Genomic DNA, 16,500 nt, shown 5'->3' with positions numbered 1-16,500 from the left:
AAATACTAACCGAATCCAGTAGCACATCAAAAAGCTTATTCACCACATCAAGTCGGCTTCATCCCTGGGATGCAAGCCTGGTTCAACATACACAAATCAATAAACATAATCCAATCAATAAACATAATCCATCACATAAAGAGAACCAATGACAAAAACCACACAATTATCTCAATAGATGCAGAAAAGGCCTTGAATAAAATTCAACACCCCTTCAGGCTAAAAACTCTCAATAAACTAGGTATTGATAGAACATATCTCAAAATAATGAGAGCTATTTATGACAAACCCACAGCCCATATCATTCTGAATGGGCAAAAGCTGGAAGCATTCCCTTTGAATATTGGCTCAAGACAAGGATGCCCTCTCTTACCACTCCTATTCAACATAGTACTGGAAGTTCTGGCCAGGGCAATCAGGCAAGCGAAGGAAACATAGGGTATTCAAGGGGTATTCAAGTAGGAAGAGAGGAAGTCAAATTGTCTCTGTTTGCAGATGACATAATTGTATATTTAGAAAACCCCATTGTCTCAGTCTAAAATCACCTTAAGCAGATAAGCAACTTCAGCAAAGTCTCAGGATACAAAATCAGTGTGCAAAAATCACAAGCATTCCTATACCAATAATAGACGAAGAGTCAAATCATGAGTGAACTCCCATTCACAATTGCTACAAAGATAATTAAATACCTAGGAATATAATTCACAAGGGATGTGAAGGACCTTTTCAAGGAGAATTACAAACCTCTGCTCAAGGAAATAAGAGAGGACACAAACAAATGGAAAAACATTCCATGCTCATAGACAGAAAGAATCAGTATCGTGAAAATGGCCATACTGCCCAAACGAATTTATAGATTCAATACTATCCCCATCAAACTACCATTGACTTTCTTAACAGAATTAGAAAAAAACTACTTTAAGTTTCATCTGAAACCAAAAAAGAGCCTGTATAGCCAAGACAATCCTAAGCAAAAAGAACAAAGCTGGTGGCATCATGCTACCTGACTTGAAACTATACTACAAGGCCACAGTGACCAAAACAGCATGGTGTTGGTACCAAAACAGATATATAGACCAATGGAACAGGACAGAGGCCTCAGAAATAATGCCACAGATCTACAACTGTCTGATCTTTGACAAACCTGACAAAAACAAGTAATGGAGAAAAGACTCTCTATTTAATAAATGCTTTTGGGAAAACTGGCTAGCCCTATGCAGAAAACTGAAAATGAACCCCTACCTTACACCTTATACAAAAATTAACTCAAGATGGATTAAAGACTAAAACGTAAGACCTGAAACCATAAAAACCCTAGAAGAAAACCTAGGCAATACCATTCAGGGCATTGGCATGGGCAAAGACTTCATGACTAAAATACTAAAAGCAATGGCAACAATAGCCAAAATGGACAAATGGGATCTAATTAAACTAAAGAGCTTCTGCACAGCAAACAAACAAACAAAACACAAACAAAAAAACTATCATCAGAGTGAGCAGGCAACCTACAGAATGGGAGAAAATTTTTGCGATCTATCCATCTGACAAAGCCTTAATATCCAGAATCTACAAGGAACTTAAACAAATTTACAAGAAACAAATAAACAACTCCATCAAAAAGTGAGCCAAGGATATGAGCAGACACTTCTCAAAAGAAGACATTTATGCGGTCAATAAACATATGAAAAAAAGCTCATCATCACTGGTCATTAGAGAAATGCAAATCAAAACCGTAATGAGATACTATCTCATGCCGTTAGAATGGTGATTATTAAAAAGTCAGGAAACAACAGATGCTGGAGAAGATGTAGAGAAATAGGAATGCTTTTACACTGTTGGTGGGAGTGTAAATTAGTTCAACCATTTTGGAAGACAGTATGGTGATTCCTCAAGGATGTAGAACCAGAAATACCATTTGACCCAGCAACCCCATTACTGGGTATATACCCAAAGGATTATAAATCATTCTACTATAAAGGCACCAGCACATGTATGTTTATTGCAGCACTGTTCACAATAGCAAAGACTTGGAACCAACCCAAGCACCCTTCAACGATAGACTGGATAAAGAAAATGTGGCACACATACACCATGGAATATTATGCAGCCATAAAAAAGGATGAATTCATGTTCTTTGAAGGGACGTGGATGAAGCTGGAAACCATCATTCTCAGCAAACTAACACAGGAACAGAAAACCAAACACAGCATGTTCTCACTCTTAAGTGGGAGATGAACAATGAGAACACATGGACCCAGGGAGGGGGACATCACACACAGGGGCCTGTCAGGCGGTGGTGGGCTAGAGGGGGCTAGCATTAGGAGAAACACCTAATGTACATGATGGGTTGATGAGTGCAGCAAACCACCATGGCACATGTATACCTATGGAACAAACCTGCCCACTCTGCACATGTTCAGCATTAGTACCACTGGATCCAATCAATGTGTTAGCTGTCCCATGCTTCTTTGCGAGGCTCTAAGGGATAATCTCTTCCTTGCCTCTTCCAATTTCTGAATTTATCTTCCCTCTCTCGTGGCCCTTTCCTCAAGTCAGCAATGTAACATCTTCAAATCTTTCTTTCTACTTCCATCTTCCATGGCCTTGGCCTTCTGGGTATATGCCCAATCCCCCCGCCCTCTCTCTTATAAGGACATTTGTGATGACATTTAGGGACCAAACAGGGATAACAAGAAATTTCTTTATCTCAAGATCGTTAACTTAATCATATCTGCAAAACTTCGCCACTCAAAGTAACATTCACAGTTTCCAGGCATTAAAGATCTTTGAGTGGCCATTATTCAACCTACTAAAATCTTTTTTTAAAAATTATGCATAACAAGTTAAATATTTGCTTATGTATTTTTAAGACTTCTTATAAATCTCTCTCCCATCTTTACTCTCCATTTGAATATACTATAGACTAGTTTTGGTGTTTGTTAGTTTTAAAATATTTACAAGCAGTATTGTTTCTTTTGGGATCCTACAGACCAACCTACCACTTGGGTATAAATTGGTAATTTGAAACACTTAAAAATTTATAGGATACTGTGGCATTATAGTTATATATATTGCTTTTAATTAAAACATTCTTCTAACATTAGTCTGACCAATGAAATAATAGAAAATATTAATCTACCATACTGCATCACAACTTAATATTTATTTGGGACAGGTAAATTTTTTATGACCTCTTTATTTCAAATCAGAATATTCTTTGACTAGACTCACAGTGACAGTAATAAATGTGTATGCATCTATAACATTCACAAAATCAGTTTCATTAAGATGGCCTCCAAAGATGGTAAAAATTAGTATGTGGTTTAGCTTTAAGTCCTAAGTCCTCTAATTTAGTGTATCAGATCATTTTATTCTTAAAAATATGTTAGAAAAATTACAGTTGTTTTTTTACGATCCAATTTCTAAACTATAAAAAGAAATTGCTAACTATAAAATATAATTGGCACTGCATTTTTAGTCAGAAAGATAACCAGATGCTTTAAAAATGAATTCATTATACAAGACTCTCAAAAATTGTTCTGTAATTATTCCCTCAAGTAACAGTTCCAGTATTTCTAAAATATTATTTATTACCCATGTCTTCCATTTCTCTTTCATATTTGGGTGTAAAATGAGTATGCCACTTGGCCACAAAAAGTGGATTACTTACAGAGTATTTAGTGAGTACAATTGCCCATGGGCAAAATATTAAATTTATTTTCAACAAAAGCCTTTGCTTGATTGTTTTAGATAAAACACCTAATGTTTTACAAATCAAAAAATAATTTCCTTATGAGAATTAAACTTTTGAATAAGTAGATAATTAAAAAACTATTAATTTTTTAAATGCTTGGTTTTACCTAAAGCAAATATTCACAGTTGCACAATCATGAAATCTTGCAGACTATTCTGAAATATGTTAATGTATTATTTTTATTTTTAAAAACTTATTTTAATATTAGCATTATGATATAATTATTTTTGGTCTACATTCTTTAAGTTTTTAGGTTTGCTACATGGCTTTAAATCATTGTAGTTTTTGGCCGGGCATGGTGGCTCACGCCTGTCATCCCAGTACTTTGAGAGGCCGAGGCAGGCGGATTGCCTGAGGTCAGGAGTTGGAGACCAGTCTGGCTAACATGGTAAAACCCTGCCTCTACTAAAACTGCAAAAAAATTAGCCAGGTGTGATGGCATGCTCCTGTAGTCCCAGCTACTCGGGAGGCTGAGTCAGGGGAATTGCTTGAACTAGGGAAGTGGAGGTTGTGGTGAGCTGAGATCATGCCACCGTACTCCAGCCTGAGCAACAGAGCGTGACTCCGTATCAAAAAAAAAAAAATTATTGTAGTTTTCATGATATAGTTAAAAGAGAGAGATGCCTACATGTGCACTTTTGCAAACAGTTTTGTATATGGAATGAATTATTTAAAATTGTTTCAGAAAACAGAACTATTGCAGAAAGGTTTTCCATCTCTATATTTACTTGTAAAAATTAAGTTAATATTATGTATGAGTGATTATCAGTAATTTATTCATAAGCTATTATTTCTCCTCACTCCATTCTTTAAACCACAAGTTTGGAGGAAGCCGATTTAAATACATGAATAAAAATTAAGTGGTGTAGACTTCCACTGTGCCTACTGTAGATTATTCACTGTCCTGTACTCAAGTTCAGTTGAAAATTGGTTATTCCACCAGGCACGATGGCTCACACCTGTAATCCCAGCACTTTGGGAGGCTGAGGCAGGCGGATCACCTGAGGTCAGGAGTTCAAGGCCAGCCTGGCCAACTTGGTGAAATCTTGTCTCTACTAAAAATACAAAAATTAGCCTGGTGTGGTGGTGGGCACCTGTAATCCCAGATACTTGGGAGGCTCAGGCAGGAGGATCCCTTGAACCTGGGAGGCAGAGGTTGCTGTGAGCCAAGATCACACTGCACTCCAGTCTGGGTGACAGAGTGAGACTCCATCTAAAGAAAAAAAAAAATTGAATATCCTCTGGGGCACTCTCATCTATTGTTCCCCAAAACACCCATACTCCACCAAATCTGGCTTCCTTAGTACTTCCAATACAGCCTTGCTATTCCTCCATAGAGATGGTGGCCTATGATAGTACTGTCTTCTTTTTATGGTTAAGTTTTCTGTTAGGACTTCAGTCAACAGGAATTCCCACACTAATCTGCATTCTCACAGAATTTTTTAAAGGCATTCCTGAAGTATGTTTCTATTAATTGGTTGCATCTGGGTCTCAGCACAGTATGTTAACTATAGTAAACCATAGTGACTAAAGGCATAAACTACAGAGCAGGATGTATGTTCTGTGATTGAAACTCAGCTCAGATTTCATGAATCACTCATGAAACTCAGTGATTTCATGAATCACCCTTTGCTGGGTGATTCATGTTAAGAAGTTATTTGGTCACATCATGCGTCAGTTCCCTTATCTATATAATAAAGACAATAATAGTATCTATCTTGTCACAGTATAAGAGATGATAATGTAAACCACTTAGAAAAATGGGTGGTATGTTGTAAGCATTTAATATTACTTTTGTCTGTCCCTCCCATACCTCTCATCTCCTTCCTCCTCTCCCTTCTTCTCTTCGTTCTTCTTCTCTTTTATTGATTATGAACTTCTTAAAGACATTTTCCCTAATACTATGTCTTGTATGTTGTATTAACTCAGTGAGTAGTAAGTTTGAGTAAGACAATGAGTGGCTAATTGCTTAATAATGAAATTTACCTGTTGATATAAACTATCTCAAATCTTAATCTTAAATTTGATAAGTTAGACTGTGGTTGCTAAGAAATTGGTGCTCAGAAATTCACTTACCTACATATGTTTGTCTTTTCCTTAACTCTGGGATAAATTAAACACATTTTGTTTTCAGCATCATCAGTTTCTTCCTACACTTAGTTGCTAATTATGATTCAGGTGTTAATTATTTTAAAAATATGTTTTCACTATTAATGTTGGGCATTGCTTTTCCCGATTTATTTATTTGGTCGTTTTAAATTTTAGAATGTAAGTTTAACTTCCTTCCCTTCCTTTCCAACACAGTTAAATTTATTTTAAATAGAATATATATGATATTGCTTTAAGTATATCACTTACTGCCATTTTTTTTCCAGGTAATTAACACAATCTATCCTTTTTAAGACCTCTGCTTTGAGGGTATTCACAATCATGAAGGTGACTCACATATAGAATTAACTGAAATATTTTCTACCTCAGATGTACACTCCATAAATGACAGGGGAAGAGAGATTTGTTCAAGGTATTGGAAGATAACACACTTGAATTGGTTTTGATAGACTGAGGCAAAACGATCAAGAGAGTAGGGCAAAATCAATAATTACCTGTATTCCAAGTGAATTTCAAACTCTTTTTCTATATCAAATTAATATCATAGATGGAAAAGTCTTGCTCTTAGGAGAATGGGATTAGTCATTAGTGACTAATAGAGTATTTGCGAGATAAAGATAAACTATGCATGGAAAAGGAAGTTAAACAGGAAGATTGCAATAACATCTTGGAGGAAGGGCCTGAAATGCCAAACTAATATTTTAGTAATGTTCATTTTCTCTTGCAAAGAGAGGCAATCATATTCAGAATTTTAGCGAATTAATACTGATGACTGTGTAACTGAAGGGAGAGTTAGAAACTTCTGTTAGGAGGTTATATTGGATATCTAGGATAGAAGTGATTAATGTCCAAATTAGTCTAGTATAACTGGGAACATAAAGGAAATAACACCTCATCTGAAACTTTACTTCATTCGCCCACTGACAAATGTGTGATAGACACATAATCAATACAGATGTGGTGACTAGCTAAAAGACAGGAGGAAGAGGAAGTTCAAGAAAACTAAAATTTTTAACCCAAGCAAAGGAGAGTGGCCAGTGGTGCACTTAAAATTGAAGGCATAGGGGAAAGTTTGGAAGAGAAACAAATGAATTCTAATTTGCACCTGTGCAATTTGAGGTGACATCAGGCTGGTTTTGTGCAGTAAACAGTAGCCAATTAGGCATGTGCCTTTGATGTTTTGATAATGATTTGAGAATCATCCAGTGAGGTTGATACTTGAAGTTGTGGGAGGAAAATAGATTAGTTAAAAGTGTGTAGGGTGAAAAGGAATACACCCTAAACATGGGGCCTTAGGAAACATCTGTTCTTAGGGGCCAAGTGAAGGAAAATAAACTGGTGAAAGAGCTTGAGATGCAATGGCATAAAGTATGGTCTAAAGTAGCTATGTTTTCATGAAGACAGTATACTCGACCATGTTAGAGTTCTCTTTGTTGCCCAAGAGTAGAGGGTACTTGGGTTGGATAATAAGCTCATTGATAATTGGTCTTTATGAGAACCACTTTAGTAGAATAGTTGGAGTGAGGAAAGTAGATTCTAGTTTGTTGGGACACAAAATGGAGAAGAGGAATTAAGAATTAAAACAATTATACCCAAACTACTTTTTAAAAAAATTAATAGCGTTTACTGTATCATTTTTCTTATTCCAATAATATTTATTCATGCAGATATTTCAAGTAATATTGAAAATATGGAGAAGAAAATAAAGAAATAAAGAAGAAACAATAATATCAAAAGTAATCAAAATTTCAATACCAGAAATCAATAATTATTGATAATCCAGCTAACATTTTTCCAAACTACAAAATACATACAATTATTCACATACAAGACACTTATAAATGATTGCATATATTAAATATAAAGTCATGTATATAATCATATGCATCATACCAGTTTATCTTTCATTTCACTCAGTAATACAGAAAAATATCTTGTCATTATTAATATAATGTGCAATTAATGAATGCATACTAGTCTACTATACTTACATAGTTTATTTAACAAGTCCATTATGAACAATTGAAAAAATACATATTTGTACACATATCTGATATTTGTCTTTGGATAATTTGCTAATAATGGCCTTCCTGTTTTAAAGAATTTATTTTTAAATCATTTTCGTATATATTACCTAATGCCCCTTCAGAATGTTTCCATGAAGTTGCGCTCTAGACAAGTTGATGTAAAAGTTTCCCCTTATGCCACATGCAGAGTAAAAACGCAGGAAAACAGCATGGGGATATTAACTGATATTAGTTAGAATTCATCTGTAATAGAATTACCTTTGTAATTTGACCTTCTCCAACAATGCTCAGTACTCAGTAATGAAACTACAAAAGATTACCCTAGATTTGAAAATTGAAATGGCACACACACGGCAGGCAGAAGGTCAGAATGAGTAATTAGTAAATCTACAGATATATAAAATAAATAATGAAACTGCCTGCTATTAAATGTAAAAGGAATAAGCCTGCAGTGAGTGTTGGGGCTGGAATGGAGGGGATAAAACTTATAAGAATAGAAAAAGTCAAGAGAAACATATGGGTAAAATAAAAATCGAGGTCTTTGGAGTTGAAGACGCCCAAGCGCAACAAGGGTATGGTTCAAAGACTCCTCAGTTTGAATGTTAAGAACCAGAGCAGGAAGGGTAATCAAAGAATATTGTGATCACAGCAGATTTAGATCAATGAGCAAAAGAGAACCCCATGTAGTAGAGAGATAAAGACAAATCAATGTAAAGAAGGCAGCATAACTGAATATCGTGTGTGTCAAAAGTAGAAAAGTTACTGATAAATGATGCCAGGGCAATGGTCTCAATGTGGCAGTGAGGATTAAGAGAACACTAGCCTCTTCATGAGCATGAGTGTGGAAGGGTTTTAGGGTAAATAGCACCACCAGAGTAAGGTCAGGTTTTGGTTCAGGTGAGAAAGTGGGGACTTTATTCTAGGAAAAGATTAGGTTGTAGGATTTTTAAAGTATTTAAAAGATCCAGAATTTAGCTAGAAGCAATTCCAGTTTAGAAGTAGAGAATGAGAACAAATGATATAATGGCCATCACTAACACCCCCCATCCCCTGTAAAACAATGTATTTACTTTTTATGCAGGTTCCTATTGACATCTTTTATTGTATTATGGTTTTCATTATAATAAACAAATGAACAAATAGGACTAATTGTGGTTCTAAAATACTTTATAAAAATGAGGCTTTTTTTTTTAGTATAGAGCATCGGTTAGATTCACATGGTAGTCAAAATATTGTACATTTATTATTAATTCCATTTATCTCAGGCATTTGAAGAGCCAGTTAATGTTGCATTTCTACCAGGGCTCTACGCTTCACCAAAAGCACTGCTACATCTTTGCATGGCAAAATTTGCCAGACATAGTTTGGCCTCTCAGTAAATACAGTAAAGGTGTTGCTTTCAAAGTATTTTTTCTTTTGATTTAGTCAAACTGAATTGAAAACAGTAGGAAGAATCTACTCAGTTAACAATAAGTGTTCAGGGAATGGGACAGCACTATGGTATTATTGAATATATCATTACATGGTTGAAATCTTTCTCAAGGCTTTTTAAAAATGTTGACTCACTTTTCTATTATCTTTAAATTAAAATTCCTTTATTAATGTAAATTATATTCATTGACAATAAACAATTTTCATTTCTCATTATGTGTAAAAATTGCATAGTTGTGAATTTTCCTGTGAAATTTTATTATACTACACAGAATATCCTGTAGCAGATAGTCTACATTCATTTAATCCTCACAACAACTTTATTAAGTAAATGCTATTTACCTTGCTTCTTTTTAAGGGGAGTATAAAAGAAAACAAAGAACAGTGAGGTTATATAAGTAGCCAAATCACGCAACTATTAAAGAGGGGAATTGGGGGTTTAAAATGTTTATCAGTGTTTCTGCTCTGCTAGAGCATTCAACAGAACATAAATTTTACCCAAGACAATACATATATGCAAGAAAAGCTTTGGTCTTAACCAATGAATGTATTAACTACATAAAAGGGGCAAAAATAAATTAAAATGAAGAAAATATTGCATGATTGAGAAGTTACAAGTTAATTCATTAGTCAGGCAATGGGTAATGGAAAGTCTACAAATAGTTGAAATACCTTAAAAAGTAGAATAACTCCAAAGACCAATTCCACCTTAAAGACTTGTCATTCTCCTAGGGGTAAAGCAATGTTCTTTATTAAATTAATCCTTCACTGCTCAATACATCCTAAGAAGGGACTTGTTGACATCAAACACTATGTAAGCTATCCACTAGGGGAAGAGCTGACACTTGGCTCAGACTCATGGGAAGAATCTTTGAGGTGATGCTGAGAAGGGAAAGCACCTAGAAGAGCAAAGATGACAAAATGTTTGTGAAATAGCAATCTGTGTTTGTGTAAAGCATTCTTTTGGATTTGAAGAGAACTTGGAGGCATTTCAAGAAAATGAATGAAAATAGAAACACCAAGTTAGTTTTGTAAGAAAATTAGAAGGAAAACGTCTTAAACTTGTCTCAGACAAGTTATGTGATATTGAATACAGTGTTTTCTTATATGCTGTGGTTAAAATGAAGAAAAGAATATGTGAAAAGAAATATAATTAAAACCAAAAGGATAGTATGGCTCTTATTTACAAAGGGATAGTTATATTCTTCAGTTGTTGGGTACAAGCTTGTTAGTTTTGTTGTTTAAATCTTTTGTATCTTTACTGATGTGTGTGTGTGTGTGACAGAGAGAGAGGGAGAGAGAGAGAGAGAGAGATTAAACAATCTATCACAGACATATATTAAAATCTGTTATTCTAGTCATGAGCCTGTCAATTTCTGTTTGGAAAACTGGACATTTTTCCTTATATATTTTCAAAATATGACCTTAGTTGCAAGAAAAGTAAATATATATATTTATATAATAAAATATAATATAATAAATATACATATAAATATATATATAATTTGTGGAATTAAATGCTTTGTCATATTTAGTGAACCTCTTTCTCATAAGTGATACCTTATAACTTAAAGAGAATTTTGACAGATATTAATAAGGCTGTACTGGCTTTCTTTGAATTACTATTTAAACATTGATACATCTTGGGTGTGTGTATGTATGTGTGTGTATATATATATATGAACACACACACATGCATACATATACAAACATATATTTACATATACACACACACACACATACACATACCTTTGTTTTTATTAACTCTGTCTGTCTCTCTCTCCTTCTACTCTAAGAACCAAGTTTAAGAACCAAGGCTAAGCATTCCATGTATCCTCTCTGGGGGAGTTATTTTTCTGTTTCCCAAAGTGGAAGAGCTATTTTTCTGGCTTTGAAGTGGCTTCCTACCCAACCTGACATTGGCCTTGGCTTTGTCTGCTGTCTTTTCACACTCAGCTTAGTAAAACACACTCTTGCTTAGTAAAGATCAGCCAAAGGATGTCCTCAGGGTGCTAATTTATTTTACAGGATTAGTTTTTCCATTCCCTTCTGGCCTCAAAAGTTTTCTCAAACTTCCCAAGACTCTTTCTGTCACTGTACCACATCAGCAGCTTTCCCATGGTTATCTGGTGCTCTATTTTAACTGGCTTTTAAGTAGTGTAATAGGTCTCTCCTTAAAAATTAAATGAGGAACATACAGTCTCATTTTATTTTAGTTGTAGAATGCTGTTACCACCTTGTTTATACTTTCCACTCCCAGAAAAATTATGTTCAAAGAACTTCTTTTCCTTCTGATCTTCCACTGGATGGTGACTCACAATCTCTCTCCATCTAACCTCATGGATTCTTATTCCTGGCCTACATGCTAGACAACTATGAGACTGTCATGTACTCCTTCTCCCTCCTACACTTATTCCCTGTGGGCAGACACATATTTATTGACTGCTTACTATGATCCAGTCACTGTGCTAGGAACTGAGGAATTAAAGTAACAGGCACACACTCTACAGTCAGAAGGCCACAGGATAACTTTAAACCCATGTGTAAATGAAACATTTCAGTATAGTGAGATATGTGCAGACAAATATATGAAGATACTCCAAAGTTGGTGTGATTAATTCTGTTTATGAGATTCAGGAATCACCCCAGGGAAGAAGCATCAGATGAGGAAATTTTTTGAAGTATAACAAGGATATTCCAATCAGAAACATAGTAGTATAGCGTTACAGCCCAAATGATTGTGCATACAGACCTTACTGTGATACTCTTAAGATTGGGGGGTAAACTGTAAATGCTGTTGGAATAACTGGGACAGACTGCTAACAGGGAAGTGCTAGAAGATAAAGTTAGAAATAACAACAGGAGCTTGATTATGAAAATATAAAAAACATTTTTAAAAATAATGACAAAGAAAGAGAAGGCATTAAAAACATTGTGTAATAGAGTAATATAAACAATTTTCATTTAAATTAGATAACTGTGTAATCAAGATTACAAGCTTGAGGACATTATTGCAAAACTGTAATCAAGAGAAGTTGAGACATCAAACCAAGCCGATGACAACAAACATAAGAGCCGAACCAGACACAAGACATGGTTAGACAGTAGAATCAAATGAGATATGGTGATTAGGTTAACAACAAAATAAAACCTAGGAGACGCATGAGCTAACATAACTGAAAGGACATTACTGACTTGGGATTTCAAAGTTATGTGCATAGGAGAAAGTACCAATAAAAGAGGAGTGCTTTCTTTAGCATAATATTAAATTGAACTTGTCCCTGTTAAAGTTGAGTTCAACTGAGGCTGTTTATGTGGACCTCACTCCAAAGTAGTTAGAAATATCCGTTTTGAAGTTTGAAAGAGAGTTATAGGCAACAGACATTGATTTAAAAAATATCAGAATATACGCCATAGTTGAAGTCATGATAATGAGGTAAAATATAATTTTTAAAAGTTGTTAGACTGAAAAGAAAAAAGAGCAGGGATAAAACCTCGATAAAAAGTGAGTATAGGAAGAGAGAGAGTGACTCAATTAACAAAGATCATTATGGGGGTTATAGATCTGTGAAGTAAGAGTTGAGTAAAGGCCATATCATAAAAAAGGAAGGAGGTGGCATTTTAGGAATTTCAATTGGTTAAGAATGTCAAATGCCAGAGATTTAAAATAAGATGAAAACTAGATAATTAGAAGATCATTAATGACTTACTTAGGGCATTCTGTTGACTGAAGAGAACTGAGTAGAGTAAAGGGGGGGTAAGATCAGAGCCAGTCCCAGTTAATTTGTCGTCTGAGAAGGTTGGTGGTAAAGGGAAGTAGAGATTGATACAAAGCAAAAGGGGGACATATGAGGACAAGGAAGTTGTTCTTTACTACAATTGTTTTTATTTTTCTTTCCATAAGGTCAGGAAATTGGGCACGCTTGTTGACTCGAAAGAAAAGAACCAAGGAAAGATGAAAGTGGGGAAGTATACCAGAGATAATAGAGAAAGGGATTAATATAACTGTTCTCTGGATAGAGAGTCCAGAAATTAATAGTGTTCCATTATAAAAATCAAAATTAAATTTTATTATTTTGTTTCTACTCTACAGAAAACCTTTCATTATGAACTAACATTGATATAGAAATATAAGACTTGAAGACACTGAAAAACTATAGAGGCCATAAGATTTCATTATGGTAGTCCCCAGAAACTAAGAAATATTTTTAAAAGAATTTGTCTGGAAAAGCAAATTCTGCCAGATGGCATGTTGTGCTTAATCAGCAATCCAAGGTTAAATAATAATCCAAGGTTAAATAGATTGATAATGAAACTCAAAGGAAAAAGTGTATGTTTATCTATGAGATTCTAGTAAATGCTGTGTCACTCACTCTATGTATGAAATAAAATTTACTACTAAGAGGGGGCCTAATGAGTTTAATTTGCAATTTTGAGTTATATTAAACTTTTAAAAATGCTTTTTAATTGTTCATGGTGAATGAATGTCTGAATTATTTGGTTTTATTATCAAGGGAAAATACTACTGCTCAAAAAGAGACTTGGGAAAAACATAACAAAAAAACTTTTTTTTTTGCCAAATTTAGTCCACAATTTTAAAGCAACCTTGTAAAACTATATCCATGTTTAATCAGCCACTTTTAGTGTGAGTGCCTCTGCTGGTAGTTACAAGTGACAAAAAACCAAAAAGGAGATATGAAAGACAATCTCAAATTAGTATAAAAGTAAGAAAAATAAGTCAGAATTCTGGAAGAAAACAGCTGGCACACTAAAAATGGTTAATTTGAGGCAAGTTTAATAAAGGGACAATTTAGAAAGATATTGGTGGGGTTTAGGGAAATTTCAAGGGATAATGAGGTATTACAGGTCTTCAATAGAAGGCACCATGATCAACCATAGGACTTAAAGGAGTGGAAGGGAAGAAGTGTTTACAGAATTTGGAAAAACAGACAGGAAGGTTGCAGTCAGCCCATGAAATCCTGCAGGGAGGAATCCCGGCAAATGAACATGGTACTTAACTTGCTTTCATTCCCTTTCTCATTCACTCTGATCTCCTGCTGTTAATCCCCATTGGCAAACCCCAAATAGAACCCAGAAAACATCAGACTCAATTGATGTTTTTTTTCTTTTCTAAATGTATTCGTTTAAATTGACAGATAAATTTTTATGTATTTACCATATATAACATGATAGTTTGAAGTATATATACATGAATTTTTACCTTTGCTGTTAATCATTTTGTGGACACAGAAGATAAACAAGATAGAGAGAGGTTTTGGATGGGCAAATAGAAAATACTCAGCATATATATAGTCTATTTTTAATGTTTATAATGAGGTAACATTTTATTAAATGAAAATCAGTTTCTTAGTAGCCCCAATCAATGAATGCTAAATAAGTACAGAATATTTGTGTGATGGGGTACGGTATTTGTAGCCTCCTTAAGGTCCCACTAATTTTGATTCAATCTTGGTTAAGATTATTTCTATTTTCTCATTAGTGAAATGTTTCCTTTACTTCATAGTTCCCAATTTGCCCATTGCTTAGTCCTCCATTTATTCCAGGCCCAACCATCTCATCCTAGCTCATTGTACTCTGGCTTCATCACCCATTTTTAGAGTACATCTATGTTGCCACATCTCTGCACCCAGCCAACCCAACCCATATCTTGCCCTCCATATTGATAGAACAGAAGAATTTATGAAAGTATTAAAGGCATATTTCATGTTTTAATCATTTTTTTAATCTCATTATCTGTTTCCTTTTCTTACCATTCCCATACAACTACTACCTGCCCCCGCCCCCCACTCCCTGACACACACACGCACGCACACACACACACACAGAGACTTACATCATTTACATCATCTACCAGCTTTCAGTAGCTAGGGAAAGAGGAGAAAATTACTTGGCAATGAGAATTTCAAACTGGCAAAGAAGGGTTAGTTTCTGTGATAGTCTGGTGGGGGAGTTATTTTGCATAAGCCGGGTATTTCAGTTCCATTCAAATCACATCACACAGGTGGTCCTACATAGTAAAGAAATAATACACCTCCAATCTCACCACACCCCAGGCATCAGGACTAATACCTTGAAGTAGAATGCCTGTAAGGATGCCTACTCATAATTATTGGGAAAACACTCATGGCTGTAGAACTCCTCTTTTAAAGACAAATAATATAATAAGAAAGTGGCTTTGATTTACCAGAGTTCAATTGAATAAATTGAGAAGATGGATAGAATGACTTTTCCAGGCAGCTATTTCATTGAAATGCATTTTGTTTTTTCAACTGTCACACGAGACACACTTATTTAAAGCAAAAAAAAATGTATTTTTAGTTTTGCTGTTGTTTCAAGAAATGAGGTAGCAAATGAATGCTTGCTGGTTTGAAGTTAGGATCACAAATCTTGGCTGCTTTGAGATTGAAAAATATCTTGATAAACTCTTTAATCTGTCTCAAGAAAGACTTCCTACATTAGTCAATTACATTTCTCCTGTGCTGTTGGCTGTTGAATCTTCTTCATATCTATCTATCTATAGATATCTATATAGATATAGATATATAGATACATATATAGATAGATATATAGATATCTATATAGATATAAATAGATATCGCCAATAGAGAAAACTGGTTTTCTGCCAAAACCTGTTTAAACTGTAACCTATGCAGTTCATTTTAAACCACTCATTTATCATTCACAAATTAACCTTGTACAGCATAGCTGCTCTCATTTCTATTGTCTCTCTATCCTACAAAGAAAAATCCTCAAGCGTTAAATAATGAGGGTTGAATCAGTGAGGCATATTTAATGCACAGAGGGTTTTTAATGGCATCTCTATAATTATAGGCAATGATAACTGACTATAAATCTTCATTTCCAAAATGCCACAGCCATTAGGAATAGAATAATATGTCATTTCTACTAGATGTTTTTGAAAACTGTATACCAAAATTATCTTGCTTTTTGAACTTCAGATATTGGTTACTGTGGAGTGAGTGTTGGATATTTATTATAGAACATAGCTATGTGAATAGAAAATACAGAAAGATTGTAAATATTTGGCTCTTTGGCTTTTAATTGGAATATGATATTTTGACTACAATATTGGCTATAAATTTTTGCCCAACTACAATGTGGCACTTTAAAAATCACACTTATTTTAAAGAGTGATAA

The 16,500-nt window shown here is 34.5% G+C and overlaps 1 protein-coding gene across 2 annotated transcripts in view, besides 4 other annotated features; it reads left to right on the top strand.

Moving 5' to 3' along the window:
• SEMA3A (semaphorin 3A) overlaps positions 1-16,500 on the top strand; it is a 536,949-nt gene that overhangs the window by 249,668 nt on the left and 270,781 nt on the right. The gene's annotated exons all lie outside the window — the stretch shown is intronic.
• Positions 13,913-14,429: an enhancer, noted in NCBI's record as "OCT4-NANOG hESC enhancer chr7:83857945-83858461 (GRCh37/hg19 assembly coordinates)". NCBI's record gives its function as "activates a minimal SCP1, AML or CMV promoter by ChIP-STARR-seq in naive and primed H9 embryonic stem cells {active_cell/tissue: H9 hESC(naive and primed)}" and the evidence as "EXISTENCE:reporter gene assay evidence [ECO:0000049][PMID:30033119]".
• Positions 13,913-14,948: a biological region, named in NCBI's record as "OCT4-NANOG hESC enhancers GRCh37_chr7:83857426-83857944 and GRCh37_chr7:83857945-83858461".
• Positions 14,171-14,465: a silencer, noted in NCBI's record as "tiled region #9013; HepG2 Repressive non-DNase unmatched - State 24:Quies". NCBI's record gives its function as "represses a minimal TATA promoter and a strong SV40 promoter by Sharpr-MPRA in HepG2 cells {active_cell/tissue: HepG2}" and the evidence as "EXISTENCE:reporter gene assay evidence [ECO:0000049][PMID:27701403]".
• Positions 14,430-14,948: an enhancer, noted in NCBI's record as "OCT4-NANOG hESC enhancer chr7:83857426-83857944 (GRCh37/hg19 assembly coordinates)". NCBI's record gives its function as "activates a minimal SCP1, AML or CMV promoter by ChIP-STARR-seq in naive and primed H9 embryonic stem cells {active_cell/tissue: H9 hESC(naive and primed)}" and the evidence as "EXISTENCE:reporter gene assay evidence [ECO:0000049][PMID:30033119]".

This window comes from Homo sapiens, chromosome 7, assembly GCF_000001405.40.
Source record: "Homo sapiens chromosome 7, GRCh38.p14 Primary Assembly".
NCBI lineage: Eukaryota > Metazoa > Chordata > Mammalia > Primates > Hominidae > Homo > Homo sapiens.
Note: the sequence above shows the minus strand (reverse complement) of the source record. Positions and strands in the feature narration are given on the sequence as shown.